The following is a 25,340-nucleotide window of genomic DNA, read 5'->3' as shown; positions in this document are numbered from 1 at the left end:
CCCTGCCGTGTGGGAGGGGGGCCCCTGGACGTCCCGCACCGCCCTTCCCGGCCCTCAGTACCACAGGGTGCCCCGGCCCCCCAACATCCCCCAAGCGCCCCAGCTGCTCAGGAGGTCGCGGTTGCCAGCCTCGCCTCGCCTCCTCGGCCTTCAAGGGCTGGACCCTATTGGATCAGTAGCAACCAATCAGCGCCTAGGGGCGGGCCTCTCGGGGTCAGGACCCTTGGAAGACCCAAAATGATTAACTGAGAAACTCAGGAGAGGGAATAGACCCGGACTCAGAGGGGAAGGCCTGCGTTTGCCTCAGCTGGGAGTAGCTGAGTGACCTGCCCCTCTCTGTGCCTAGGCCTCAGTTTCCCCATCTGCACCACTGCAGGGCTGGACTTTTCTGGCCCACCATCCATCCAAGAGTCCAGGTACCCCGAGACCCCTGCGGAGGCACACACACCTTCCAGCCTCTGAGATGCCTGTTCCCCAGATGAGGGTGGAAGTACCCTGCAGGCAGGGATGGCCTGGGGGGCCTGGGTACCCAGGGTCAGCCTGTGGAAGGGCATGGGATGCCCTCTCAGAACAGGTGGGCCCACGCTTCCCTGTCCAGCCTCCAACCCTGGGGGGACATCTCTTCCCACCCCCACTACAGGGAGCAGGGCAGCCTGCTGGGCTGCGAGCCTCTTGGGATAAGCCCGCAACGCCTCCCATGTCGGTGGCTACACGCATCCACCTTCAGTGGAGCCAGGACCCGCAAGACCCTCTTCACAGGGCGGCACCTCTCACCTGCTTCTCCCCTTTCCCCGCTCGGCAAGAGGAATCTGGAGCCAGCCTTTGCCCCCTTTAGACAGGCTGCCCCTCCTACTGCTCCCCAAGTCTGTCCTCTGGGGGAAACACAGAAGAGGAAGAGAAGGACCAGGGGCTGTTCCGTCCTTTCAGCACTGGTCAAATTTCCATGTGAGCCTCAGTTTCCCCCAGTGCAAATTGGGTGCCCATCCTCACTCCATCCAAAGAGCATCAGGCACTCCTCAGCCCATCCAGTAGACAGTGAGCCCCTGTTTTGAAGGTAGGGGCAGAGGGGGAAATGGAGCCCTCCCACGGTAGCCTGGGTCCATGTGTCACTCACCCCCACCTCCAGCTGTGCCTGGGTGTGGCCCAGGCCAGAGTGAAGATGGAAGCTCCCCTATCACTGGTCCTACCCCCCCTTGCCGGCTGCCCTCTTCACGCCCTCCCACCCGTCAGAGAGGATCCAGGCCCTGGCCGATGACAGAGGAATCGTCTGGCCACCCTAGAAGCTGCCGCTGGCAAGCAGGAGGCGAGGTAATTGGCATCGCTGGCCAGGGAGCAGGAAATGAGCGGTTGCAGCCGGCGTGGAGCGGGAAGCTGTTCAGTGTCATGGGCCTTATCTGGGAACAGGCTGCCCAATTACAGGGCCGTGCCCGCTGCACCCGGCAGCTGCCGGCTCCTCCACCACCCCCTCTTCAGTGTCCTCGTGGCATCTCCCAGGCCTGGGCATCTGCTGCCCCTTCCAAAAGGCATGAGGCAGCTGCCTGGGAAAAGGCCTGACCTGCTCTTCGCCCACCCAGGTGGCAGCTACAGGTGCCCCCTCGTCAGGCCTGGCATACAGGGGAGGACCCCCCCCCAAGCCCTCCTCACCTGCAGGTGACTGTCCAGACTAAGCCCTGCCTGGGCTGCCTCCTCTAAGCGTCAGCCTTCGGATGGGGGCTGAGATGGGCACCAAGGAGCACAGCAGAGCCGACAGTAGTCCCCAACTGCTCATCCGAGAGCACCCTCGGGGCAGGAGCAGGTTACCCTGCTCAGATGCCCACCTCTCTACCAGCCCCAGAAAGAGAGGATTAGTCATTTCGTGGGTGGACAGCATTCCACCGTCTATCCCAGAAACACAGTCGCTGGGGGCTGCAGTAAGGTGTCATGGATTAGGAAAATAGGCCTGTAATGGGTTCGCAATTGTTCCTAGCGCAGCCCAGTGTCGCAGATTACATTGCGCATTACTCAGTGGCTCACAGATGGTGGCAGGCCAGCTGTCCCAGGAGGCTGAGCACAAGGTGGGGTGGCAGTGGCAGCGTTGTCTTGGGAGCCCAGGGGTGGCACAGTGGAAAGAAAACTGGCTTTGGGGTTGCACCCACATGAGTTCAAATCCTGTGACCTCACGAATTCGTGCCTCGGTTTCCACAACTGTAAAGTGGAAAGGGGTGCTGCTGCCTGCTGGACCCGCGAACATGCCCAGCACCAAGTACAGAGTAAGCGCTCAACAAGTGGCTGTCCCCTTCCTCCTCCTGGGCCATGTCAGGCACCCCTTTGTGGGAAGGTCTCCCTCAGGTCTGGGTACAGATAGAGTGGGGGAGCAGACACCCTGGGGACCCTGTAGCCCCCTCTCCTGACCTTGATCTTCAAGGGGTCCAGGCCCTTGGGTGTAGGTCCTGCTCGGGCAGTGACCAGCCAGATGGCCTCAGGATGCCAGCCCCTCTCTCATCTGTAAAATGGGCGTGGCAGCTGTTTGGCCTGGAGAGCTGGGCTTGCCTCCACGCCAGCCTTCCTGGCTGGCTGGGGCTTCCTGAGGGGAGGGACTGGGTCTGGCCTCTCTCTGTCCTCAGAACTGGCATGAGCTGGCACCATGTGGGTCACTCCCCATGAGGTTTTAAATCTGCCTTGGTAGGTGAAACTGTTCACCGAGCAAGAGCTGTGCACATACAGGGTGGATGAGGGGTCCCTGCGGCCTGAGCAGAGGGACCCCACCTGCTCTCAGTCTGCAGGGAGGAACCACCAATGGGCTGTCCCGTCCCCTACGTTCAGCCCCCAGCCAAGCTGGTCCCAGAGGCTGCCCTTTCTCCCAGCCTTATAAACACGGGGCTGGCTGTGGCCTAAAGTGGCACAGGGGCACCCGGGTCCAGCAAGCACTTAGGGAGCCGATGAACACACAGGAAGCCCTGTTTCGTGAGAGCTGGTGCGACGCAGGCTGGCCTGCAGGGAGGCCTGGAGCCTGGGAGCCCAGGGCAGGCTTGCTTAGGGGGGTGACACGGGCGCAGAAGCTGAAAGGAAGGGCCAAGGCTGTACCCGGGCTGGGTGGGGAAGCTGGGAGCAAAGGAGGGGCTGTCCTGTGGCAGTGTCAGCCCGATGGGTGCAGACCAGCTCCGACCCTGGTACCTTGGGTCTAGGGAGTGTAGATGAGTTTAGAAGGCAGAGTGGAGGTCATCCCAGGGGGTGGGACAGGCCTTGCACCAGCCAGAACCCTTCCTTCAGCCCAGGGTTCGCACTACCCCATCCCACACCAAGGGGTCCCCAGGATGGGCCTCACACCCCTGCCGGGTTCTCTGCTGTCCCCTATGAGTGCTGCTGGTGGGCACAGCCCCGGGTGGTGCCTGTCCCCTGTGACCTGTCGGCCATGTTTCTCCATCACAACCAGCCCTGGCTGCTGCCATCCGGACTCAGGGCTGGCCACCCTGGCCGCAGCCTTTGGGGCATGAGGTTTGGGCCAGGCCCCCGGCTGTTGCCTACAGATGGAGACCCAGGCTCCGTCTCTCCGTCCGTCTGTCTTCTCTCTAGTACAGCCTCCTGTTCCCGCAGCTGCTCCCCCTTCCTCCCCACCCTCCTCCCCTCAGGCAGCCTGGTTGGGCTGTGGGTGTAAATTTCCACTAGGAGAGGGGGCCTGTTCATTCTGGCACTGAAGCAGAGCCTGGGCGGGGAGTGGCGGGGTAGCGGGAGGAGCAGGAAGCAAAACGTGTAGGGGCTGCAGCAGGGACCCTGGAGACAGGCTGAGGCCTAGCTCCCTCAGCCTCTCCCATGGGCCCACCTGCTGCAGCTCCTCCAGGGAAGCCAAATGGGCAAAGACACCCAGGCATTTTTGCCTGCACAGCCCAAAAGATGGGAGCAAAGTGGGCGGGGGTCCCAACTGCCGGGGCTGCTTATTGCCGGGGGTGGAGCAGACTCCAAGCTCCCTTCCTCCTCCTGTCTGAATACAGCCTCCTGCCAACCCTGGCCCACAGGGAGGACAAACTGTGCTCCCATTCTGTGGACAGGAGGCCTGAGGCCCAGAGGACCGACAGCGCGTCCCTCCCAGGAGCTCCCCGGGTGCTGATACGGCTGTCGGCTGCAGGCAGCATGGCATCTGTCCCTCACCTGCTGTGCCCTGCCTGCCAAAAGCCCTGGAAGGACAATAGCAGACCCAAGAGTCACCGGCCTGGCCTGGTGCTAAGAATGGTACCCAGAAAGAGGCTGAATCCCACAAACCAGCATCCTCTGTATGAAAGGGGAAACTGAGGCAGTGCAGAGGAGCAGGGAATCCCCCTGCCACTCCCTCCCATGGCCCATCATCCATCCATCCATCCATCTGTCCACCCATCCATCCATCCAGGCTATTTATTCCTGGTCTAACATGCAGGCCCCGGGGAATAGAAGCAAAAGATGATGTCCCTGCCTCTGCTGGGCTGGCTGCCTCGTGGAGGGACAGAGAAAGTCCCCTTGTGCTCCGTGCTGGAAAGGACACCAGTGAAAGGTTCCCCCGCTCCTCTTTAGCCCCCTAATGGGGCAGGGGAGCCACTTAGGATGGGGACAAGCAGACCCTGGGCCCCAGGAGCTACCTGCCCTGCCACTAGCTCCCGTCCTGGCCTGTGCAAAGCACCCATCCCCCATCGTTTCTTGTGAATGAAGGGCAACTCCACCCACCCAGAAACCGGGCTGCTTCCAGCTGGTATTTAAAGAGGTGTCTCTGAGTGTGATGATGGCATTTGTTCCTGTCTCCCGCCCACTGCATGGTGTCCCGCTCAAGGCAAATTCGAGGCAAAGCTACTGGCTGCCCCTCACCCTGCTCCCGGCCCAGAGGAGCACCTCCTGCAGGCTGGGCTCCATGCCAGGCCCTGTGCTGGGCATGGTGGATCTGGGGACAACTAAAGCCCAGGGCTGCTCTCAGGACACACAGGTTGGCGGTGATGAGGGTCACCTTCTGGACCAGGCTGGGGGGATCTAGGAAGGCTTCCTGGAGGAAGGGCTGTCAGCATGGGAAAGAAAGGAGAAGACTGGCAGAGTCTGGATGGTAGTGGCGGTAGGAAAGGGCTGGTAGGAGATCCTGAGCCATCCTGAGAAATTCAGCGGTGAAGAGCAGGGGAGAAAGAGGGCGGTCACCAAGACAGAAAGAGTAGTGGGGGTATTTGTCACGGGAGATGCTAGAATTCCCTTAAAAGCTGGCTGGAAAGTACCACCCAAGGAAGGGGTGGCCACTTGAGGAGACAAGATGAGTGACACAGGAGGACCCATCAAGGCAGGAAGGGGCTGGCCAGGTGGGGGTTCAGGCAGGAAACAAGGAAGTTTGTTGATTTGGGAGCAAGATAGAGGGGAATGTCTTCTTCAAAAAGCAGGAGGTGAGGTTGTCTCTCTCCTCACCAAGTACTCCACCCATTTTAAAGATGAGGAAACGGAGGCCCAGGAACCGTGGCTTGCCCTGGTAGATGGACCAGCCTGGGGCCTGCTGGCTGGCTGCCACTCTGCACCCCATCAGGCACCTCTGAGCAGAGAGAAGATGCAAGGGGTGAGGGCTGCCGAGGGTACTGCACAGCGAACCCAGCACCCACTTTGTTGATATTTACTGGAAACACCCTGGATTTATAGTGCGGTGTTTGCAGAAGAGCTCAAAGCCTATCAGGCTGGCTGCCGAAAGCACTCAGTCTCCTGGAGAAGTGGCCGCTTCTTTCCTTTGCAAACTTGTTAATAATCCCCGTTGTCAGGCAGTTCTTCCTCTGTCTAACCTAAATCTCTCCTGTCATGACTTGAGCCAACTGTCTCCTGAAGCAGGCTATGGTCTGTCCTCTCAAACCTGGAAGACCTAAAGACGTCCCCAGGGAGGTTGGGGCCTCCTTTCCGCTTCCCTGCCCTGACCCTGGCTAGCCGTGGGGCTCCAGGCTCCTGCCTGGTAGAACTCAGGGGCTGTGGAGCTGGGATCCTCATCCCCATTCGCAGGTGGAGGTGACAGCTGCTTGCTGCCACCAGGGCCAGGGCCTCGCTTTCTGAACCACGTGGGAGCAAGGAGTCAACTAGATCACAGTGCAGAGCGCCCAGCACGGTGCTGGAACGCAGGAACAGCTCCGTGCCATGCAAGGATGACTCCGGGCCAGCAGAGGTGGTGGGGGGGATGACGGAAGCAACCGGGTATGCGGCCTTGCATCTTAGCCCTGCCCCTAACTCCCATGTGACCTTGAGCACTCCCCTCCCCATCTGCGGGCAGGCAAGGGGCTCGGGATGCCGCTATAGGGCTCAACCCCACTGGGCTAGAAACAACCAAGGCCCAGCAGTCCCAGAGAGCGGAAGGCAAGGGAAGGAGAAAGTAGGGGCTCCAGGCCCCTTAAGCCCCTTCCCCCAGGCAGTCACACCTGCTGAGGACCCCGCTGAGCCAGCTGCCCCCTGTAGATCCCCAGGGTAGGGGCCCCACATCCCTCCCACTTCCTGCTCCCACTCTGGCCCTTGTGTGCTGTGGTGTCTGAGTCCAGGGTTGTCCCTACAGCCTCAGACCAGCCTTGCCTCCCCAACCCAGGCCTGGGTTCCTGGCCACACTCCCATCGGGGCCACAGACATCCCCAGCCCAGCCTAACCCTGCACCTCAGTGCCCCTGGAGGGAGGGCCGGCCTCTAAGTACAGATCTGCAGGAAACCATGGGCTGTGACAGCCCCAGTTAACAGAGCCCAGCCTGCTTAATCTGCTTCATTAAAGGCACTAATTAATTGGCTTAATTAAAAGGGTAACCTCAAAGCCAGGAAAACTACCTCCTAACGAGGCCCAAGGTGTACTGAGGCACCAGCCTAGCAGCTAAAGAGGGGAGCCTCACCCCACCCTGCTCCCCAGCACGCCCACCCCAGGGCCCCAAGCCCAGCCCCAGCTCTCCGTCTGGGGCCCGCATGAGCCTGGTGACTGCACCTTCTTGGTCCCTGCACACCCCTCAGGCAGGCCCAGCGTGCTGGAGGGAATCAGAAGCCCCACATTCGGAGGCTGCAGCGCACTGTTTGGCTGCAGTTGAGAGCCCGGGGTGTAAGCAACCGAATGTAATTATACCCAAGCACAGGCAGGTTGCAGCCAGGGGTGGGGAAAGAGAGATGGCCCTGACCGTGAGGCCAAGCCTGGCCATACTGTGCCTATCTGGAGGGTAGCTGGGTGGAGTAGTGGTGGGCTCTGGCAGGGGCATAATTAAAGCTGCTGGCACCACGGCAGAACCCCACCTGGGCAAAGGGCCCCTGGACCACCAGCTTCCATGATCACAAAGTTCTGGAGTCAGGAGAATCAGGTTTACATCACAACTCCACCCCTAGAAGCTGGGAGGTTGTGGCAGGCTACTTGGCTTCTCTAAGCGCCATTTCCTCATTTGCAAAACACTATCAGGGATGCCCAGGTCAGTTGCCCTCCCAGGTGGGCCCTCCCTGGACTCAGCAGGAGACAGGGCTGGGATTGATTAGCCATGTCTGCCAAGAGCAGCGGGTGAGGAGTGGAAGCTCAGATACTGTCCTGCTCCTGACCATCCTGCCAACCTCAGAAGGGCTAACTTCATGTCAACATTTAAACCTTCCCACAAGCTTGGCCCAGGCCTGCCCCTGTAGTCCCAGCAACTGGGGAGAGAGACTAAGATGGAAGATCGCTTGAGGCCAGGAATTTGAGTCCAGCCTGGGCAGCCTAGTGAGACTCCCATCTCTTTAAAAATTTTTAAAAACTCTTTCCAGGGTCACAGGGAAATAATTCTCACAACTTCTCACATTGTTTCAAGGCCTCACAGCAAAAAAAGTTGTTTTTTTTCCCCCACCCCGACAATGCTTATTTGGGCTTCCTACCACCCTTCTAGATTTAGAACTGAGCATCCCTGGTTTGGCACCGGGGCTCTGGGTGCCTTGTTGGGAGCCATCTTCTGGCCCCAAGGCCACTCTTTCTCACTACAGGGAGGAGGGCCAGGGCTTCCTCCAAGGGATTTGCTCCAATGCAGGGACTCTGCCTTCCTCCTTCCCAAAATGCCCCCCTAGATACCAGCCAAGTTCATTAGCAAGCCCCCAGCTCTCGCCTGGACCCCCTCTCATCCAAGCAGGAATGGCACAAACACATAACACTGTCCGGGCACCAGTGGCCTTGGAGTATCCAGTCTCTACCTCTCTTGCAGCCCCCGAGAGAGGAAAGGCAGGACCCCACGATGGGACGGCCATGGCCCCCAATATCCAGAGGATCCCAGCTAGGCCTTGAGGTCCCTGGGGGTGGACAGGCAATGAAGCCATGGGCAATGGGCACCCTCAGAAGTTGTCCTGAGAGGGACTGGGCCGCAGGGCTATCTGGCCAAACCACTGTTCAGGGAGGAGCTCACCAACCTCGGCCCCTGCCCCTATAAGCTCCGGGCCGTGAGCTCGGAGAGGGCTGATGTACACACTGCCACCAGCCCACTGCCCGCTCCACGCAGGAATGGCGGTGGTGGCACAAGGCCGTCTGTCAGACCCGGACAGATTTAGTCTCTGCACAAACAGCTGTTAGCCTGCCCGGCCGACAGCTCTGCCGCCCAGGAGCCAGGAGCGAGGCTTCCGAGAGGGTGCCCCCGCCCCACAACAATGAGACTCAATCAGTGCCACCCTGGGGAGGGTGGGTCCGCCATCACTGTCACCACTGAGTGTCAGGCCAAGCCGCCAGAGTCCCTGCTGCCTCTCTAGCTCGTGACCACACGCACCCACCCCACCACATCAGCACCCAGAGGGCCGTCAAGGCAGGTGTCTGCCCAGAGCTACTTCAAAAGAGGGACCAGCCCCTCCCCTCCCCTGATTGGGCACCTACGTGGGGTAAGGCTGCTGCCCACATCATCCTGTCTTGGCACCCCTGGCCCCATGTCACAGATGACAAAACTGAGGCCTAGTAAGGTGGCTAGGTGAGTGGTCAGGGGGCCTCAAACCTGGGGCTTTGGGGGCTGCACCCACAGGCAGCATCCATGGAGTGAATCTCTCCTCCAGATCGGTGGGGCACAATACTTGAGCCTCAATCCTTGGAATTTACCAGGCTGTCCCCCTGGGCAAGGCTGGTCCAGAGGATTCAGGAGTGGGGCTCAGGGGACAGGCCTGGCTGCCTGCAACAAGAAAGTCTTGGAGGGTCAAGAAAAGCAAGGCTGTGGCCGGGCGCGGTGGCTCAGGCCTGTAATCCCAGCACTTTGGAAAGCCAAGGCAGGCGGATCACCTGAGGTCAGGAGTTCGAGACCAGCCTGGCCAACATGACAGAACCCCATCTCAACTAGAAATACAAAAATTAGCGGGGTATTATGGCATGCGCCTGTAATCCCAGCTACTCAGGAGGCTGAGGCAGGAGAATCGCTTGAACCCGGGAAGCAGAGGTTGCAGTGAGCCATGATCGCGCCACTGCACTCCAGCCTGGGCGACAAGAGTGAAAGTCAGCTGGGCCATGGTCACTGCTGGGTCATGGTCACCGCTGGACAGCCCTCACTGTGTGCCAGGCCTGTCCTTAGCGCTGTGAGGGAGGGCTGTCCTCACCAGGTGACCCTTGGGAACAGAAGCAATAGAGGGTATGGGGGCTGAAGCATCCATGGCCACACAGCCAGGAAGGGGCAGAGTGGAAGCAGTGCCCGGGCATCTGGGTCCCCACCACTGTCACACTGAGGGCTGGCCAAGGGCCTGGCCCCAGGACCCCTACGTGTCCAGCTGCCCCTAGGTGGCCTGCACATTTCAGAAGGGTCAGTGGGAAGAGCACTAAACTCAGTCAAGCTCTGGGCCTCGTGGTAGCTGTGAGTCCTGGGGAGCCACTCATCTCTCGGGGTCTCAGGTCCCTCCTCTTGTGGGGATGGGTCATCGGCCCTCCCTGCATCCCCAGGCTGGGGTCTAGGGAGGGAGGGATGGGTGGAGGGAGAGGTGGGAGTGGCAGGGTGAAGACGGAGCCTGCACCCGGCTTCCCTGTGGGGCATAAGGACCGAGGGCCTGGTTTCCCAGCCTCCGGAGAGATCTCGAGGGAAGAGTAGGCCATCACCCTCATCATCACTTTACCAGGCCATTTCTTATTAATATTAATAGCATTATTTATAATATGGCATCCAGGCCTGGGCTGGCTCTGTGCGATCGCTAGGCCAAGAGGGCTCTGAGAGAGGTTTGGCCTCCCCCCCGGGGCCACAGCGTCTTGGTCTGGGACACAGCCTTTCTAGAACAGAGCTGGGGGATGGTGGGGTGGATCACAGCTCAGCCAGGCCCCAGCCCTAGCAAGCAGGGAGTCTGCAGAGACGACTTCACTTGTGGGTCCCCCACAGGCTGGCGCCCATTTCACAGATGGAGAAACCGATCCCCCTCAGGATGAGAAGGCAAGACACTGGGCTCTGGGGTGTGCAGCCTGCCCCGCAGATCACTGAGCTGTCTGTCTGCACCCCCAGCGTCCACCCCCTTCAGCAGGCACCTCCAACCCTGAACCATCAGGATGTCTGTGCGGGAGTCAGCAGGTCCTGCAGGACAGGAAGCCAATAGAACCAGCTGAGCTCGGAGACCAAGACCGCTTGGGGAGGCTGACCTTGGAGGTGTGGCCTGGGGAAGGGGCCTCAGTTTCCTCATACCTCCCCCATAAGGTTGTGAGGATGAAGCGAGTCATGCGGGTAATGCTCAGAACTGGGCCCAGCGCACAGGAAGTGCTCAGGGGGCCTGCTGACCTCCCTGCCCAGGACTGGCCGTGGGCACCGCTGTGAACAGCACAGCCTTTGGGCATCGGTAGGACCCTGTTCAATCCCCAAGGCTTTGGGGATCCTGGGCCAGTCCCTTTTTCGCTTCTCTGTGCCTCAGTTTCCTACTACACAATGGGGTGTTAACAAACACAGTGGTCTCTGGGGGTCCTTCCAAGAGTGGGACTATGAATGGGGTGGCTCAGCCCTGAAGTCCCCCAGACCTCTCAGGGGCTCTGTCACTTTTCCTCCACTGTTCCCCACTCCAGTGAATGTAATACCTCACCCACAAAGTGCAGGCAAAGGCCCCACCCCCTGAAGGACAAATATGTGATCTGCCTATCACCCACACTCAGGGCAGGAGGCAGCCGGCACCCCAGTCTGTCTCTCTGAGCATCAGTTTCCTTGGCTCTAAAATGGGATGACAGGCTCTCCCTCACACCAGACTGCTTTGAGGGTCTGGCGAGCTGGCTGGGAGCTCTGTGGGGACAGGGCAAGGGCGGCTTTGGGTTTGCACCATGGGATGGCCCTGGTGCCTGGCCCACCTCGGGTGCTTGGTGGGGATAGCAGCCCCTGGGGCTCAGAATGGGTTCTGGAGTGGGATCCAGCTCCGCCCTTAGAGTTATGGGATCTGGGTTGAATTTCCTAACCCTGCAGAGCCTTGGTTTTCTCATCTCTAAAATGGAGCAAAAACTGCAGGCACTTTGTAGGGCTGCTTTAAGGAATCGGTGATGACGCATAAAGTGCTTAGCGGCAGGAACAGTAAGAATTCCGCTGGGGCTGCAGCCCCTGCTGCCATGACTGTTATTAACCATCCTGCTTGACTTCTGCACCTCTCCAAGCCTGAGTCAGGCCAAGGACTAGCCTCCTCCATGGCTGGATCTGGGAGCTGGAAGGGCTCCTGGGTCCCTGGCAACCACAGCCTGGCAACACAGGCCACACCCGTCCCAGGCCAACGGAGGGTCCAGGGCAGACCCTCCCCGGGAGGCCCCCAGCCTCCACAGACAAGGGCCTCTGTCCTGCTGACCCCGGGTCAGGGCAGGGACAGTGCACTGGCACAAAGGCTGGGCTCTGTCTGCACCTCCCATGGGGGCAGCTGCCCATGGCAGACTCTCCTGCCACAATGAGGCCTTTGAGTAGCTGCCGGCGGGAGCTGAGCTCTCCTCGAAGGCCCCCGGCTCTCACAAGCCCTGTCTGTCTGAGAGGCCAGTGGGCCAGAGAGGCAGCTGTCGTGGGGGCAGGGCCCCTGCCCGGCCCTGCTTCTGGGCCCACTGCCTCCCGCCGGCCAGGGCAGGCTGCAGGCCTGAGAGCCAGGCTGGGCCTCAGGCGGGCAGGGCCTGCCAGCATCCCCACTCTGAAGTGGTGGCTCAGGCCCAGCACACAGGGCACTGGGAAAGCTCCTATCCACCATCAGGGTCCCAGGAAGTTGCTGCAGGGCTGGGGCTCTGCTTTCCTGCTTCCTTCCTTTTTTTTTTTTTTTTTTGAGACGGAGTTTCACTCTTGTCACCCAGGCTGGAGTGCAATGGCACGATCTCAGCTCACTGCAACCTCTACCTCCCAGGTTCAAGCGATTCTCCTGCCTCAGCCTCCCGAGTTGCTGGGATTACAGGCACCTGCCACCATGCCCAGCTAATTTTTGTATTTTTGGTAGAGAAGGGGTTTCACCACGTTGGCCAGGCTGGTCTCGAGCTCCTGACCTGAGGTGATCCATCTGCCTCAGGCTCCCAAAGTGCTGGGATTACAAGCATAAGCCACCGCGCCCGGCCTTCCTTCCCTCTATTAACCTCAGTTTCCTCATCTGTAAAATGGAGCCTCTAAGTACATCTGGGCCACTGTAAAGATTAAATGTGATCCTCTGTGAATGCCAGGCAGGTGAGGAGGGCTCAGGGAATGCCAAGCTGGTCACTCCTCCACCTGCTTTACGGCTGCTGGGGGTGAAACGGAACAGGACAGGGACCCCATGGCATGGACCTGGCTTTATCTCCTCCGATTGCTGGGTGACCTTGGCCCAGTGACTGAACCTCCCTGAGCCTCAGGTTTCGCCTTCTTAAAATGGGCTCACGCTACCCACTCCCAGGGCTGTTGTACAAAGAAAGCCATTTATCTCGGGCCAGGAAGGCTTGCTGGGAGGAGTTGAGGAATCTGACTGGTTCCACAGTTCAGCAGCACCTCTCTGGGGCAGGGGAGGGGAGGGGGGCACCACAGGTGGGTGGAGGCAGGCAGTGCCACCTGCACCGCCTTTCATGAGGCAGCCAATGTCGGGGAGTGAGGGTGGCCTTCCAGACACAGGGAACAGCACGTCGAAGGCTCAGAGGTGTGAGCATGCTAGCCGGGGGGGGCACTGGGGCGAGGCTGGTGCATCAGCCAGGGCCATGCTGGGAAGGTCTGAAATGCCAGGCTGAGGGCGCTGGACTTCTCAGGAACTAGAGAGCCACTGATGGTCTCAGAGCTAGTGCGTGACTTGACTGAATTCAAGTGTTTTAAAATGTCCGGCAGTATCTGGCTAGAGGATGGGGAGAGGCAGGGATGGGGAAGACTTCACATCACACCATGAATTCCTCCACAGCTTAAAGAACGGGCCAGGCCAGGCGCAGCGGCTCACGCCTGTAATCCCAGCACTTTGGGACGTTGAGGCAGGCGGATTACTCAAGGTCAGGAGTTCAAGGCCAGCCTGACCAACATGGTGAAACCCTGCTTCTATTAAAAATACAAAATTAGCTGGGCATAGAGGCACACGCCTGTAGCCCCAGCTACTTGGGAGGGTACATGATCTTGTCCTCTAGCCTGAGCGACGAGAACAAAACTCCGTCTCAAAAAGAAAAAAAGAACGGGCCAATCAGGAGTGTGCATGAAGCTGACCTGGGCTGGAGCACAGCGCAGGGTCCCAGACAAAGGCCAGCACTGTCTGGGGTCCAGGGCAAGGGTAGGACCCAGCTCCCTCCTGTCCCCTTGGGCAGCCTCGCACCCCAGCACAGGGGACACTTTGGGAACCCAGGGCCAGCCTGGCTCCACCCTGCCTTTGTCACCTCTGTAAGCCTCTGTTTCCTCATCTGTGCCCCACCAGGCTCTAGTAGCAACTAAGTTTGCTACTAGAAGGTTCTGCAGGAGGTGGCCCCTGTCCCTCTTCTGGGGCTTCCTCACTTTGGATGAGAGGGACTGGGGACCCAGTGGGAGTCGGCTGCTCTGGAGAACAGAGGCTCAGGAGGCCAGAGGCAGCACCCATGCTAAGAGAAGCCGGGTTCCCATCCTACCCCTGCCGCTCAGAACCTGTGTGACCTGTGTGACCTTGGCTGCCTGTAACTCAGTTTCCTCATGTGTAAAAAGGGAATAATAACAGTATCACTGCCCACTTATGGGGATTAAATGAGATACAGTACTGTACGTGACATGTTTAGCACACTGCAGGTCCACAGTGAGTGCTCAGTCATGTTACCCAGTGTCACTGCTGTTATTGTTTTAAGAGATGGGGTCTCGCTATGTTGCCCAGGCTGGTCTCAAACTCCTGGCCTCAAGCCATCCTCCTGCCTCAGCCTCCCAAGATGCTGGGATTACAGGTTTGAGCCAGCATGCCCACCTGTTATTACTATTATTGTTAGTTCTGAATTCCTTCTCATCCCCCAGAAAAGTGAGGTCTATTTCTGGTTTTTGGCATCCAGGGGTACAGTGGCTTATGCAACCACATGGCTGGCCAGCAGCAGGGATGTGCGCCTGCCTTTGAGACCCCAGGAGCAGTCTCTCCAATCTGTACCCTCAGGACGCAGCAAGGTGGCTACCCCAGCTGAACGCCGCTGCTCCCTCGGCAGACCCTCACCCCCTACCTACCAAATTGGGTCCCATAAGTGACCCAGAGGCTGGGATAGGGGTGGTAGAGCCCCCTCTCCAGCTGCCCCACGGCAGGGCCCACGCTGCAGAAACCAAGCTGAGTAAATAATGACATTTCCTCCTCTCTCCTGCGCTCTTCACCCCTTTCCCTTCCACAAATAAATTATCAACATGCCCAGGTCCCGGCGGAGCAGAGCATAACTCGGGGAACAATGAAAAAGCTTTTAATAGGATTCCAGGAGCTGCTGCCACTCGCTCAGGGGCCCTAATGGAGATTGCTCTGTGACGGCAGGCCGCCAGCACCCTCCCGGGCCCCTTCGCCCACCACCCGCCCCACTCCTCCCGAGGGCACCAGCGGGCAGCGAGGCCCAGCTGGGCCACCTGCTGACGTCACAGGCCAGCATCTGGGCTGCAGAAAAGCACTCGGCCGAGGCAGAAGCACATGCCACCCACCACATGCACCCGGACTGCTCCCCCTCAGCCCGCACAGGCCTGACTGCTCACAATGCCTCTGCCAAGGCTGTTCCCCTCCAGGAATAATGCCCTCCCACCTGGCTCCAAAGTGCAAATGACACCTACCCTATGAGGCCTTCCCTGATTCCTCCCTGACACATGTGTTAAATGACATCACCTACTGTCAGTACCAGCCCCAGGCCCAGCACACAGTGGGGCCTCAGGAAACGAAGGCAGAATCCAGGCAGGGAAGAGGAAGTATGAGGCTCTTAGACCACAGGAGACAGCTCAGAGGTCCTGGGCAGGTCCCCAGCTTGGGGAGGGGTCTGGTGAGGGGGGAGCATGACAGATACCAAAGCTCAGGTGCTGGTGACCTCAGGCAGTTACCTGCCATCTCCATGCCTCAGTTTCCCATCCTCCTTTGTAAAGGACCCAAGTTCACCCTAATGAACGTGGTTCCCCTTCCTCTGTGTGACCTTGGGCAAGTGACTTTGCCACTCAGTGCCTCAGTTTACCCCTGGGGTAAAATCAGGATAATAATAGTGCCTACTTCAGAAGTTGCTGGGAGAGCAGGCGCAGTGTCTCACACCTGTAATCAGGAGGCCAAGGCGGGAGGATCGCTTGAGGCCAGGAGTTCAAGGCCAGCCTGGGCAACATAAGGAAACCCTGTCTCTGCCAAATTAAAAAATTAGCCAGTGTGTTGGTGCGTGCCTGTAGTCCGAGCTATTCGGCAGGCTGAGGTGGGAGGATCACTTGAGCCCAAAAGTTAGAGGCTGCAGTGAGCTATGATTGCACCACTGCACTCCAGCCTGGGCGACAGAGCAACACTCCATCTCAAAAAAAAAAAAAAAAAAGTTGTTGGGGGAACTGCCAACCACCAGGTACATAGTAAGTGTGATATAAATGTCAGCTACTATTGCTGTGTTGATTACTCTCATGTGTTGTAGGCTGAGGGGGTTACGAGCATATGCTTTAAGATGCCATGTCCTGGGCCGGGCACAGTGGCTCACACCTGTAACCGCAGCACTTTGGGAGGCCGAAGTGGGTGGATCACCTGAGGGTCAGGAGTTCGAGACCATCCTGCCTAACATGGTGAATCCCCGTCTCTACTAAAAATATGAAAAATTAGCCCGGCGTGGTGGCGGGCACCTGTAGTCCCAGCTACTTGGGAGGCTGAGGCAGGAGAATAGCTTGAACCTGTTGCAGACAGAGGTTGCTGTGAGCCCAGATTGCACCATCGCACTCCAGTCTGGGCAACAAGAGCGAAACTCCGTCATAAAAAAAAAAAAAAGATGCCATGTCCTGGCTACGTGACCTTGGTCCAATCACTTTACCTGCCTGAGCCTCAGTTTTCTCTTCTGTGCAATGGGGCTGTTGTGAAGCCTCAGTGGGATTCTGCAAGGTAGAGTCCTTAGCATGGTGCTCTATGAAATATGCATTGTATGCAGTAAACACTCAATAATGACCTCTCTGCCACCCTTAATGAGCAGAAGGTGACATTTGAGCCCCATGCTTTCCCTTTCCACGATTTGACCTCTTGCCCTTCCCACACCTGCTGCCTCCTAACCCTTGCTGCTCTCCAGAGCCCTCCAGAGCTCAGCTCTCCCCAGCTCCCCCAGGAGTCACCCACACCTCAACTTGCCCTTTTGTCACAACCAGGCGTTTAGAGTCCACTGCTCCCTGATGCATTCCACCTGCTACTGCATGGGCCCCAGACCTCGGGGCTCAGCAGTGCCCCACAAGCCTTCCTGCCAGAGAGGGTGGGGTCCTGAGGGCGGAAAGCTAGCCTGTACAGCCCCTCTCCAGCCCCTGAGCTCCTCAGAGCCCCGAGCAGGGTGATTATCCCAGCACGTGTCTGGCGGGGCCTGTCCAATGATCCAAAGTAACTACTGGTTCCCACAAAGCCCTTCTGTGGACACAGTCACATGGAGTCTTCATGCTAACCCTGGGATGTCAGCACGTATGCCATCATCCTGTTTCACAGGTGTGGAGACAGAGGCACAGAGAGGGGACGTGAGGCGTCCAGGGTACTCAGATGATAAGTAACAAAGGTGGGCTTCGAGCCCAAGTTCATCGACTCCAGAGCTTTCATTTCATAGCCCTTCTGCCCCAGAATGTGTCCTGACTACCACATGGCACTGGACAGGGCGTGTCTCCACTCTGTGCCTCAGTCTCCCTGCTCTCACAGTGGGAAGAAGATAAACCAGGCAGAGCTTGTCAAGCCAGAAGCCCCTGGAAACTGGGGTGTGGCACTACCCAGCCCCTCTGGCTAGCCCAAGCCTGGTGGGGGTCTCAGGGCTCAGAGCCATGGTGCTGCTCTGAGTGGCAGCTACTAGGGACCTAGTGGTCCAACCCCTTGTCCAGAAGTAGTGGGAAACTGAGGCATGAAGCACCCCACTGTGACTGGGGGATCAGGGGAGTGTTGTCTATCTCCCTGGGACCGGTAGACAGCCTAGGAGGCATGCAGCCCCAGTGAGGCAGGGAAGGGCTTCCAAGACCCCCACAGGCCTGGCCACCAGGCCAGCCCCCCATTGGCTAGCCAAGGGGGTGGCCCTACCCAGAGCCTACCTGACTGCTGGCTCCCTGGGGTCAAAGGTTACGCTGCAGGGCTGGCCATCACAGGGCCTCCTCTATTGGAGCAGGGCTTAGGGGAGGGGCTGTCACTCCCACTTCTCATTCCTTCACACCCCCCCATTCCCCAGAGAGGGGTCCAGGCCTGGGCAACAGATGGCCACTGTCTGGGGGCAGGAAGGGCAGGGGACTGCACGGGAAGGGTGGGGCAGCCACTCCAGCCCCTTCCTCGTGGCAGCTTCCAGAGGTGGGGGTGAGATGTGGGCTTCATTCACCTCAGAGCCTGGCTCAGGCTGGCTCAGGGAAGACAGGAGAGGAAGGTGGGTTAGGTGTGAGCATGTGTGTGCAAGAGTGTGTGCATGAAGGTGCATGTGTGCCCACCAGAGGTGTGAGCGTGGTGCACATCTGTCTCCCCCTCCCGCCTGGTCCCACTGGACTGGGCCACCGCCACCTTCCCTGTGGCCAGCTCCAGGCCTGGCCCACCATGGCCGCTGCCCGAGAGAGTGAGTGAGCGAAGAAGGAAGGGTGGGCCCCTAACTGCCCCCCACTGAACCCAAGTCCCCACTCAGGGTGGGGCAGCCCAGCCCAGGCTAGGAGCCCAGGGGCTCTCAGCCCACCGAATCTCACTCCTGTGCTTTAACTGGGCGGGGCACCCTCAGCCTTGAGGTGAAACTCCCGTGACCCTCTGCGACTTGCCATGTCCCTAGGGCCAGACACCCACCCCCTAACAGCCAGATTCCCTGAACCAAAGCCAGGCCCCCTCTGGTCTGACCAGAGAGAAGTGGAATTGGATCCAAGACCCAAGATGCTATGTCGCTTGAGAGAGCTCAGTCCCTCGGATTTTGTCCCTAGGAATCCTGATGGGCAGGCTGGACCCTCCACTGCCACCACACCAGCTCCCGAGGCGGTCATTCGGTCCTGGCTGCACCCCTTTTTCCATTCATTCATCTGTTCACTCGCTCTGCCCTACACGAAGCCCCACCTCTGCGACCACTCAGAACCAGCCAGGTGTCCCCCAACACACCCTCCAGAGCAGCCCCGGGCACCCTCCTCACTCCCCTGAGCTCTCCTCTCCTCCTCAGCCCCTGGCTGACCTCCCCCAGGAAAAGCCCCTCCTGGTTCCAGCACCCGGCAGCATTTTTGAGGACATTTTCCCGAGCAGCATTTCCCAGGCGTCACGGGGGGTGGAGGGGTGGGGGGCAGCAGGAATGGTTCAAGAAGAGCAATTTGCTTCTGGAGATAAATGCCGGCTCCTCACGGAAGGCATTCCCTCCTTTCTTTTCTCTCTTCCTCTCTCGCTCATGCTTTTTTTTTTTTTTTTTTTTTTTTTTTTTTACAGTTTGCTAAATCTGTTGTAATCTGGTGCCAACGATTAATTCAGGCAGAAGGAGGGAAAGGGGCGTGAAAAAAATACTGCCACAGAGCTGCCTCTGGAGAGTGACGCGGGCAGGAATGGCCAGGACTAGCGCCCCGTGACCCCAGTTTTAATCCCAGTTTTAATTAAGTATAAGCCATCCCCAACCAGCCCGGCCACTGCCTCCCTGCCAGCCAGACAATAGACCCCGTCTGCCCATGAGGATGCCCTTTGACCCCTTGAAGCAGAGCCTGCCACACCTGGGGCCTGGCCGGACGTCGGATGCCTGGGTCCTGCGGTCTGCCTGGGAGGCAGTGTCCCCTAGTGGCTAGCTGAGCCCCATACAGCCGGGTCCGGGGCCCTCCAGGACACAGCCCCTTCACTCCCTTCTCCCTCTGCCTGCACCCCAGCCCACTTCCCTGCACCGGGAACATTCAGGGCTGGGGAGGGTTTCTGCGGACTCTCCTTCATCACTAATAGCTCTCGGTCCACCCAGGGCTACCGCCCCCGTCATAAACAAGCCCACATTTGTCTCACAGCCCATCAGATGCTGGGGCAACCTGTCTACGCAGGTGAACACACAGCTCTCGGGAAAAGGGGACCTGGCATCCCGGGCCTAGGAAGCCCACTCTTCCAGAGGCCCATCTGCAAGGACAGGCAGAGGGTCCCTGAGGCAGACCCAGGAATCCTGAGAGAGCTGGGGATGGATGGGCCACAGAGACCCAGGGAGACAGCCCACCAGCCCCAGCCCTGGCCGGGTGCCTTGAGCCCCTCTGCCCTCCTGCCGGGGGTCTCCATGCAGCCCTCTCCATCCATCCTGTCCTCCAGGCCCTTGTTTCTGTCCCTGCCCTTCCCTGGCTCCAGCTCACTCTTCATGTCTTAAGCACCCCCTTCCCTGGGAAGTCCCCCTCAATCCCACCCCTCAGCAGGCCCCTCTGTTACTTGACCTCACCACTTTGCGCCTTCAGAGCCAAGGCTTCACGGGGAAGAGGTAGATCTGACTAATGTCTGACACCACATCTGACTGGAAGCGCCCTGAGGGCAAGACACCCACTGCTTTTGTTCCCCACTTTTGTCCCAGAGCCCAGCACTGTGCCTGGCAATAACTAATGCTCAATGATTATCTCAAGAATGAATGAATGAATGAATGAATGAGCAGGAAAGGAGGGAAGGAGTGAGGGAAGGGAAAACAGAAGAGCCAGGGAGCCAGGCGTGCCAGAGGAGCACTGGTGGGCCAGCCCATTTATCCTCCATGGCTTCAGCCCCAAACTCCCACCCATCCTCCTCCCTGTCCTCTCCCCCACCCTCACTAGCCACCAGCTCTGCAGGTTGTCATTTTAAAACCCAGGGCTGCAGGAATCCAGCAAACAACCTCCACAAAGCAAGGAGAGGCCCCCAAACCCTGACATCATCTGCAGAGCCGCTGGCCCCGGGGAGCGGCAGTGCTCTGGGGGCCTCGAGCGATGGTAAACAGGCAAACACAGGCCTGCACAAACACAGCCTGCTCCATGGAACCCTCTTGGTGTCTCCAGCTGCTGCCAGAGAACTCCAGGCAGGCTGTCCGGGGGGAGGAGGGCAAAACAGGGGTGCTGTCCTTTTCCCGTCTCCTCCCGGCCATCCAGTCTGCCCCACACCACAGCCCTGGCCCTCTCAGGGTGAGTGTCCCATGGCAGAGGACAGAATGCAGCTGCCTCGTGGGCCAGCCAGAGCCTGAACTTTGTCTCCGGCAGAACAACACAGGTTCTGAGGAGGGACCCCCCGCTACCACCCGACCTCAAACACACTTGGAAGGCAGTACACCGGGGGCAGCAGCCAGGGCCTGGGGCCTGGGCCTCCCAGAGGCTGGCGCTCTCCTCTGCCAGTGAGCAGGGAAAGCTACCCCCGGGGCAGTCCCCACCCACCCCACTATAGGCAGTTAGCACCCTCGCCACACCCACGCCCCTTCTTGTCCACCCACGCTCGCTCACCCACATGCCTCACGCACCCCATCCTATAAGGGGCCTCAGCAAAAGCCCTCCAGCTCCCCCTTGCTCTGGGGCATTTCCCACTGCCCCTTGGGCCAGGTACCAGAGTGGATGGCCCCTGCCTGCAGGGGATGAGGGCCACCTCAGTCCTCCCTGCCACCCCAAGGCCTGAAGAAGCTGAAAGCCCTTGGCCCACAGTGAACGAGGGGTGTAGACTAGGCAAGGGCCCCACATTGCTAGGCATGAACTCTGCTAGAAACCTCATACGCATCCTCTCAACGTGGGTGCCTCCCCAAGGTAGGTACTGCTGTTACCCCACCCTACAGATGAGGAAGACGGGTCACTTGCCGAAGGTTAGCAGGCCAGGTAGAGAAACCCTCCCCAGGAACCGAAAGTCCTTAGGACCCTGTGATGGCATTCTAGTGTCCCAGGAACACAATCAACAGGGATGACTAGGTGGTTGATATCATTTCCAGACTCTAGAGCAGAAGGGCCAGCACAGCCAGACCCACACAGTCCCATACAGGCCCCATCTCTGAGATCAGGCCATGTCCAGCCCTGATTCTGGGGATGTCTGGCTGGCTGGGGAGGGGGCTGCTAGCCCCATGACTGGGCAGAGGTGGCTGTGCCCAGCTAGATCCTGGAGGCCTCATCCTCCCCCTGCACCAGAGCAGCCACTTGACAGCTGCCCCCGTGCTGGCCTCTGGGCTCTACACCCACCTCTCCGTCCCTCAACACCCGCAGGGTCAAGGCCACCTGGAGCCCTAGTCCTCTCAGCTAACTTCGAAGCAAGCACAGATGCCACCTGCTCATGTGTGCACTGCCCTTCCCTGCACCCACACGCAGAACACCCAGACATCCTCTCTGTGGGACAACTGCTGTAAACCCCTGCGCAGGCAAGGAAGCCGGTCCCAGAGGGGAGGCTGCAGGCCCAGGGTCACCCAGTGAATGCGACACAGGCTCAGCCACCAGGCATGAATCTCTACAGAGCTAAGTCTGTACACCTCTGGCAGTGGGTGACCAGTGGGATGGCAGCACCCCCTCCCCATCACCTCCTTAGAAACAGCTGGGCGGACCTCCCAGGGGCTTTCATGGGAGGCCTCGGAGATGGGGAGGAGGGGACACAGGGCGCTGCCACTGAGGGCCAGCGTGAGGATGAAGTCCAGTGACAGCACACTGGCTGGTGGTGGGAAAATCCGACCCCCCGACCCTCTGAAGTCCCTGCAGATACCCTCAGCCCTTGAGAATCCTCCAGTCCAGGAGCAGGACCACTAACAACATGCGTCAAATGCACTTACAAAGCAGCACCCTGGCTCAGGCTCAGGAGGTGGCACTATCAATCCCATTTTACCAACAAGGGAAACTGAGGCACAGGGAGGTGGAGGGACCAATAAATGGTAGAGTGCGGATGCACAGACCCAGGTCTAGGTGAAGTCCAGCAGGCCACAGCTGCCTTGGGGGTGTGGGCTACGGAGCCTCCATGCTGGGGTCAGGGTGCTTTTTACTGAAGAGTATCCAGTCTCTGTGTCTGGGAAAGAACATGGGACTGGGTGCGCACACACACACACACCCTGTGCCCATGGCCGACCCTTCAGCCAGATATGTGACAGCCCTCAGCTCTTCCTGCCCCTCACACCTACCAGGGCCCCCTCACTGCTGGCCCAGCTAGGCAGCGTCCCCTCCCAGGCACGGGCCCTGTCAGCTCAGGCCATTTCCATTTTAAACCTTCTGAGGAAGCCCTGAACAGTCGCCCACGGAGTCAGCACCAGCTGACAGGTGATGTCTGCGCCTCTCCTCCCGGGGCTGGCGGAAGAGATGCAGTAGCTTTCAACTCCAGAAACTGGAATCTGGAGCCCCTGAGCGCGGCGGCTGCCTCCCCCGCGGCCGCCGGGCAGAGACAGGGTGCCTCAGCCACCTCCCTCCACAGTGGCATCGTGGGTCCCCCCCACAGACAGCCTCCTTCCTAACTCCTGAGCCACCTGGGGAGGGGGATGTGGAGGGGCTGGTTTCCATCCAACCCGAGGGCGTAGGGGCCGCGGTGAGGCAGGGCTGTTCTCAGTCACCCCTCACCTCCGTCCCCAGCCTTGGCTGTATTTATTCACATCAGAGCTCTGGCTTGGGCCTCGGGGGCCTGGCACACCCCAGCTGGGCTGTATTCTCTCAAAACTGCCCACCCTGGAGGGCCTCGAAGACCTCCCGGGGCCACCGGGAAGGCTGTGGCAGCTCCCTGGTGTCCCTGTTCCACAACTTTCTCCTCCTCGGGGAGCTCTGATCAACCACGGTTCCCTGCAGCTGGGCGACAACACTCCCCAGCCTTCCTCCCCGGGGTCTCCAGTGCCCGCGAGGAGGGGCGTGCGCCGCCGGGTCGGGCCGCCTCCTTGTCTTGAGAGCTGGGGGATGGGGGGTGCCCGCCGCCCCCCGCCCAGGCACCATGGTCTCACCGTTCCAGCCGCCAGGTGTACGGCCCCAGCCCCCGCCCGGCTCAGGGCTGACGGTCCACAGCGCGCACAGGGAGGGAAGTTGGAGGCTGCTCATGCCCCCCTTGAAGTCGTTTTAAAAATAAAACCTCGCTCCAACCGTGACTCACGCGGCTGGTGGGGACGGGAGCGCGGCGCCCAGGCCGGCCGGCTGTCCCTGGCCGCGCGCCCTCCTCCGGTTCCCGAGTGCGGGAGCTGGGACCCACATGACCGGCCTGACGCCCCCCACGGGCCAGGCCCCCTCCCTGGGGGGTGCAGCGAGGGCTTGGACTAGAGCTCCAGCTGAGCCCCCGCCCTTTCCAGCCTCGGCTCGGGAGAGCTGAGCCGCCGGCCGCGCACCCCGCGCCTCCCCGCGGCGGGGCCAGCGCCACCGCTACTGGTGCTTGGCTCTTGACTCAGGGACCCCCACCCCAAATCCCAAAGGCTGGGCGTCCCATCTCCCGCCGCTCTGGGGCAAAGCCAGGCTGCCTGACCCCGTGGCGCTTCGGTGCCCCCGGGCCCCCGGCCCCCGCCCCGTCGGCTCTGGCGCCCTGTCCCAGACGCGCGGACCCCGACCCCCGCCCGGTGCAGCCAGCCCTACCTGCGCAGCGGCCGGGGAGGCGGGTCTCCTCGGGAAACTTTGCGGTGACGGCTGGAGCCTCAGGGGTTATTCCAAGGAGCGGGCGGGAACCAGAGCCGGAGGGCGCCCAGGGGGGCCCGGGAGAGGAGCCCCCGGCGCGCGGCAGAGCACGGTGGCGGGCCCGGAGCGGGGGGCGCGCGGCGGCGCATCTGCCCGGCTCGGGCGCCCGGCGGAGCCGCGGGAGGAGTGCGGGGGGTGCGTCCAGCGGCGGGGTGCGTGTGCCCGGGCGGGTGCGCTCGGCGGCGGGGCGGGGACCAGCGGCGGTGCCCGCGCGAGCGGCGGCGGCGAGCAGGGCGCGGGGAACCAGGCTGTGCGGCCGCCTCTCCCCTCGCGGCGGCGGCGGCGGGGGCCGTGCGTGCAGGCGCGGAGCGGGGAGGGAGAGGAGGAGGAGGGGAGGGGGAGGAGGACGGGGGCGCCGCGCTGCGCACTGGCCGGCGGGACCCGGCGCGGGAGGCTGCGCCGCCGCGCGGGGATTCTGGCCCAGCCGGGGAGAAGCGGCCTCCGCGCCCCCCTCCCCCGCCCTCGGCTAAACTGGCTGGGGGAAGGGCGGGTGGGGGAGCCGACCCCTCTGGGGAGTTGGGGGAGGGAGGCTCCCAAAGCCAACCTCCACCGTGGAGGCGGGGGAGAAAGGGGTTCTAGCTCACGCGCCGCCTCCCCAGCACCCTCCTCTCCGCACCCACTCATTCAACCATCCCTCCAGCCATCCATTCATTCATTCATTCATTCATCCGTCCACCCGTGCATTCATTCACAAACAGGTACCCACCGCCTACTCTGCATGCCAAAGTAACCCCTTCCTTCCTGCCTGGCGCCCCTTCCCTGGGCAGACCCTCTCATCCGCCGCGTGCTGTAAACACCCGGGCGCTCCCCAGCAATACCCCTCCCACCTATTAAGGGGGCAGTGCCAGGGTCCCATGCCAGCGCCCCCTCCCATCCCCAGCTGACTGTGACCTTGGCCAAGTTGCTGAACCTCTCCCAGCCTCAGTGTCCTGGATTGTGAAATGGGACCGTTACTACCTAGCTCCAAAGGTTACTGTGAGAGATGAAGAAGACCTTGAATGGGAGGGTGGCTGGCCCAGTGCCTGGCACCTATTAGAGACTGGGAAGATGTTCATGCCTGTGGGTGGCATCCGGGTGGGGTGAGGGAGTGTTTAGACCAGACAGCCTCCTCTTAGCCTGAAAGTCCCCGTGCTCTTGGCATTCGCTGGGACACTAAGTAAGGGACTCTCCCATATACCCAGCCTGGCCTGCCCTGGTCAGACCTCATCACCTTGTCAGTGGCTGCTCTGAGTCCCAAGCCTGCCCAGAGCCCCCACCAGGGCCCCAGTGCTCCTGATCCACCCTCAGACCGCCCACAGTCTGGCTGGGACCCCCTCTGCCGGCCCTGCTCTTTGCTGTCCATCGAGGCCTGGGGGCCACCTCCCCT

The 25,340-nt window shown here is 60.4% G+C and overlaps 2 protein-coding genes across 8 annotated transcripts in view, besides 10 other annotated features; one reads left to right on the top strand and one right to left on the bottom strand.

Moving 5' to 3' along the window:
- Positions 1-24,104, bottom strand: part of FLRT1 (fibronectin leucine rich transmembrane protein 1) — an 83,241-nt gene extending 59,137 nt beyond the window's left edge. For 3 of the 5 annotated variants that reach the window (XM_047426696.1, NM_013280.5, NM_001423967.1), the window contains exon 1: positions 23,876-24,104. The gene's annotated coding sequence lies outside the window, so the exon portion shown is untranslated. Of the gene's footprint in view, positions 1-23,259; positions 23,354-23,875 lie in introns of those variants that run through there. The other 2 variants (XM_047426698.1, NM_001384466.1) reach the window with 1 other exon arrangement.
- Positions 1-25,340, top strand: part of MACROD1 (mono-ADP ribosylhydrolase 1) — a 167,556-nt gene that overhangs the window by 106,079 nt on the left and 36,137 nt on the right. The gene's annotated exons all lie outside the window — the stretch shown is intronic.
- Positions 307-1,025: an enhancer, noted in NCBI's record as "H3K4me1 hESC enhancer chr11:63826482-63827200 (GRCh37/hg19 assembly coordinates)". NCBI's record gives its function as "activates a minimal SCP1, AML or CMV promoter by ChIP-STARR-seq in primed H9 embryonic stem cells {active_cell/tissue: H9 hESC(primed)}" and the evidence as "EXISTENCE:reporter gene assay evidence [ECO:0000049][PMID:30033119]".
- Positions 307-1,145: a biological region, named in NCBI's record as "H3K4me1 hESC enhancer GRCh37_chr11:63826482-63827200".
- Positions 963-1,145: a silencer, noted in NCBI's record as "fragment chr11:63826362-63826544 (GRCh37/hg19 assembly coordinates)". NCBI's record gives its function as "represses an EF-1alpha promoter that drives an FKBP-Casp9 reporter gene in an ReSE screen in phorbol 12-myristate 13-acetate-treated (for megakaryocytic differentiation) K562 erythroleukemia cells {active_cell/tissue: K562(+PMA)}" and the evidence as "EXISTENCE:reporter gene assay evidence [ECO:0000049][PMID:32094911]".
- Positions 5,320-5,862: an enhancer, noted in NCBI's record as "H3K4me1 hESC enhancer chr11:63821645-63822187 (GRCh37/hg19 assembly coordinates)". NCBI's record gives its function as "activates a minimal SCP1, AML or CMV promoter by ChIP-STARR-seq in primed H9 embryonic stem cells {active_cell/tissue: H9 hESC(primed)}" and the evidence as "EXISTENCE:reporter gene assay evidence [ECO:0000049][PMID:30033119]".
- Positions 6,407-6,950: an enhancer, noted in NCBI's record as "H3K4me1 hESC enhancer chr11:63820557-63821100 (GRCh37/hg19 assembly coordinates)". NCBI's record gives its function as "activates a minimal SCP1, AML or CMV promoter by ChIP-STARR-seq in naive H9 embryonic stem cells {active_cell/tissue: H9 hESC(naive)}" and the evidence as "EXISTENCE:reporter gene assay evidence [ECO:0000049][PMID:30033119]".
- Positions 6,951-7,494: an enhancer, noted in NCBI's record as "H3K4me1 hESC enhancer chr11:63820013-63820556 (GRCh37/hg19 assembly coordinates)". NCBI's record gives its function as "activates a minimal SCP1, AML or CMV promoter by ChIP-STARR-seq in naive H9 embryonic stem cells {active_cell/tissue: H9 hESC(naive)}" and the evidence as "EXISTENCE:reporter gene assay evidence [ECO:0000049][PMID:30033119]".
- Positions 10,449-10,949: an enhancer, noted in NCBI's record as "H3K4me1 hESC enhancer chr11:63816558-63817058 (GRCh37/hg19 assembly coordinates)". NCBI's record gives its function as "activates a minimal SCP1, AML or CMV promoter by ChIP-STARR-seq in naive H9 embryonic stem cells {active_cell/tissue: H9 hESC(naive)}" and the evidence as "EXISTENCE:reporter gene assay evidence [ECO:0000049][PMID:30033119]".
- Positions 11,262-11,820: an enhancer, noted in NCBI's record as "H3K27ac-H3K4me1 hESC enhancer chr11:63815687-63816245 (GRCh37/hg19 assembly coordinates)". NCBI's record gives its function as "activates a minimal SCP1, AML or CMV promoter by ChIP-STARR-seq in naive H9 embryonic stem cells {active_cell/tissue: H9 hESC(naive)}" and the evidence as "EXISTENCE:reporter gene assay evidence [ECO:0000049][PMID:30033119]".
- Positions 22,260-23,161: an enhancer, noted in NCBI's record as "H3K27ac-H3K4me1 hESC enhancer chr11:63804346-63805247 (GRCh37/hg19 assembly coordinates)". NCBI's record gives its function as "activates a minimal SCP1, AML or CMV promoter by ChIP-STARR-seq in naive and primed H9 embryonic stem cells {active_cell/tissue: H9 hESC(naive and primed)}" and the evidence as "EXISTENCE:reporter gene assay evidence [ECO:0000049][PMID:30033119]".
- Positions 23,162-24,064: an enhancer, noted in NCBI's record as "H3K27ac-H3K4me1 hESC enhancer chr11:63803443-63804345 (GRCh37/hg19 assembly coordinates)". NCBI's record gives its function as "activates a minimal SCP1, AML or CMV promoter by ChIP-STARR-seq in naive H9 embryonic stem cells {active_cell/tissue: H9 hESC(naive)}" and the evidence as "EXISTENCE:reporter gene assay evidence [ECO:0000049][PMID:30033119]".

The sequence above is a fragment of the Homo sapiens genome, chromosome 11 (assembly GCF_000001405.40).
Source record: "Homo sapiens chromosome 11, GRCh38.p14 Primary Assembly".
NCBI classification, from domain to species: Eukaryota; Metazoa; Chordata; class Mammalia; order Primates; family Hominidae; genus Homo; species Homo sapiens.
The sequence above is the reverse complement of the archived record's forward strand: the minus strand, read 5'-3'. Positions and strand labels throughout refer to the sequence as shown.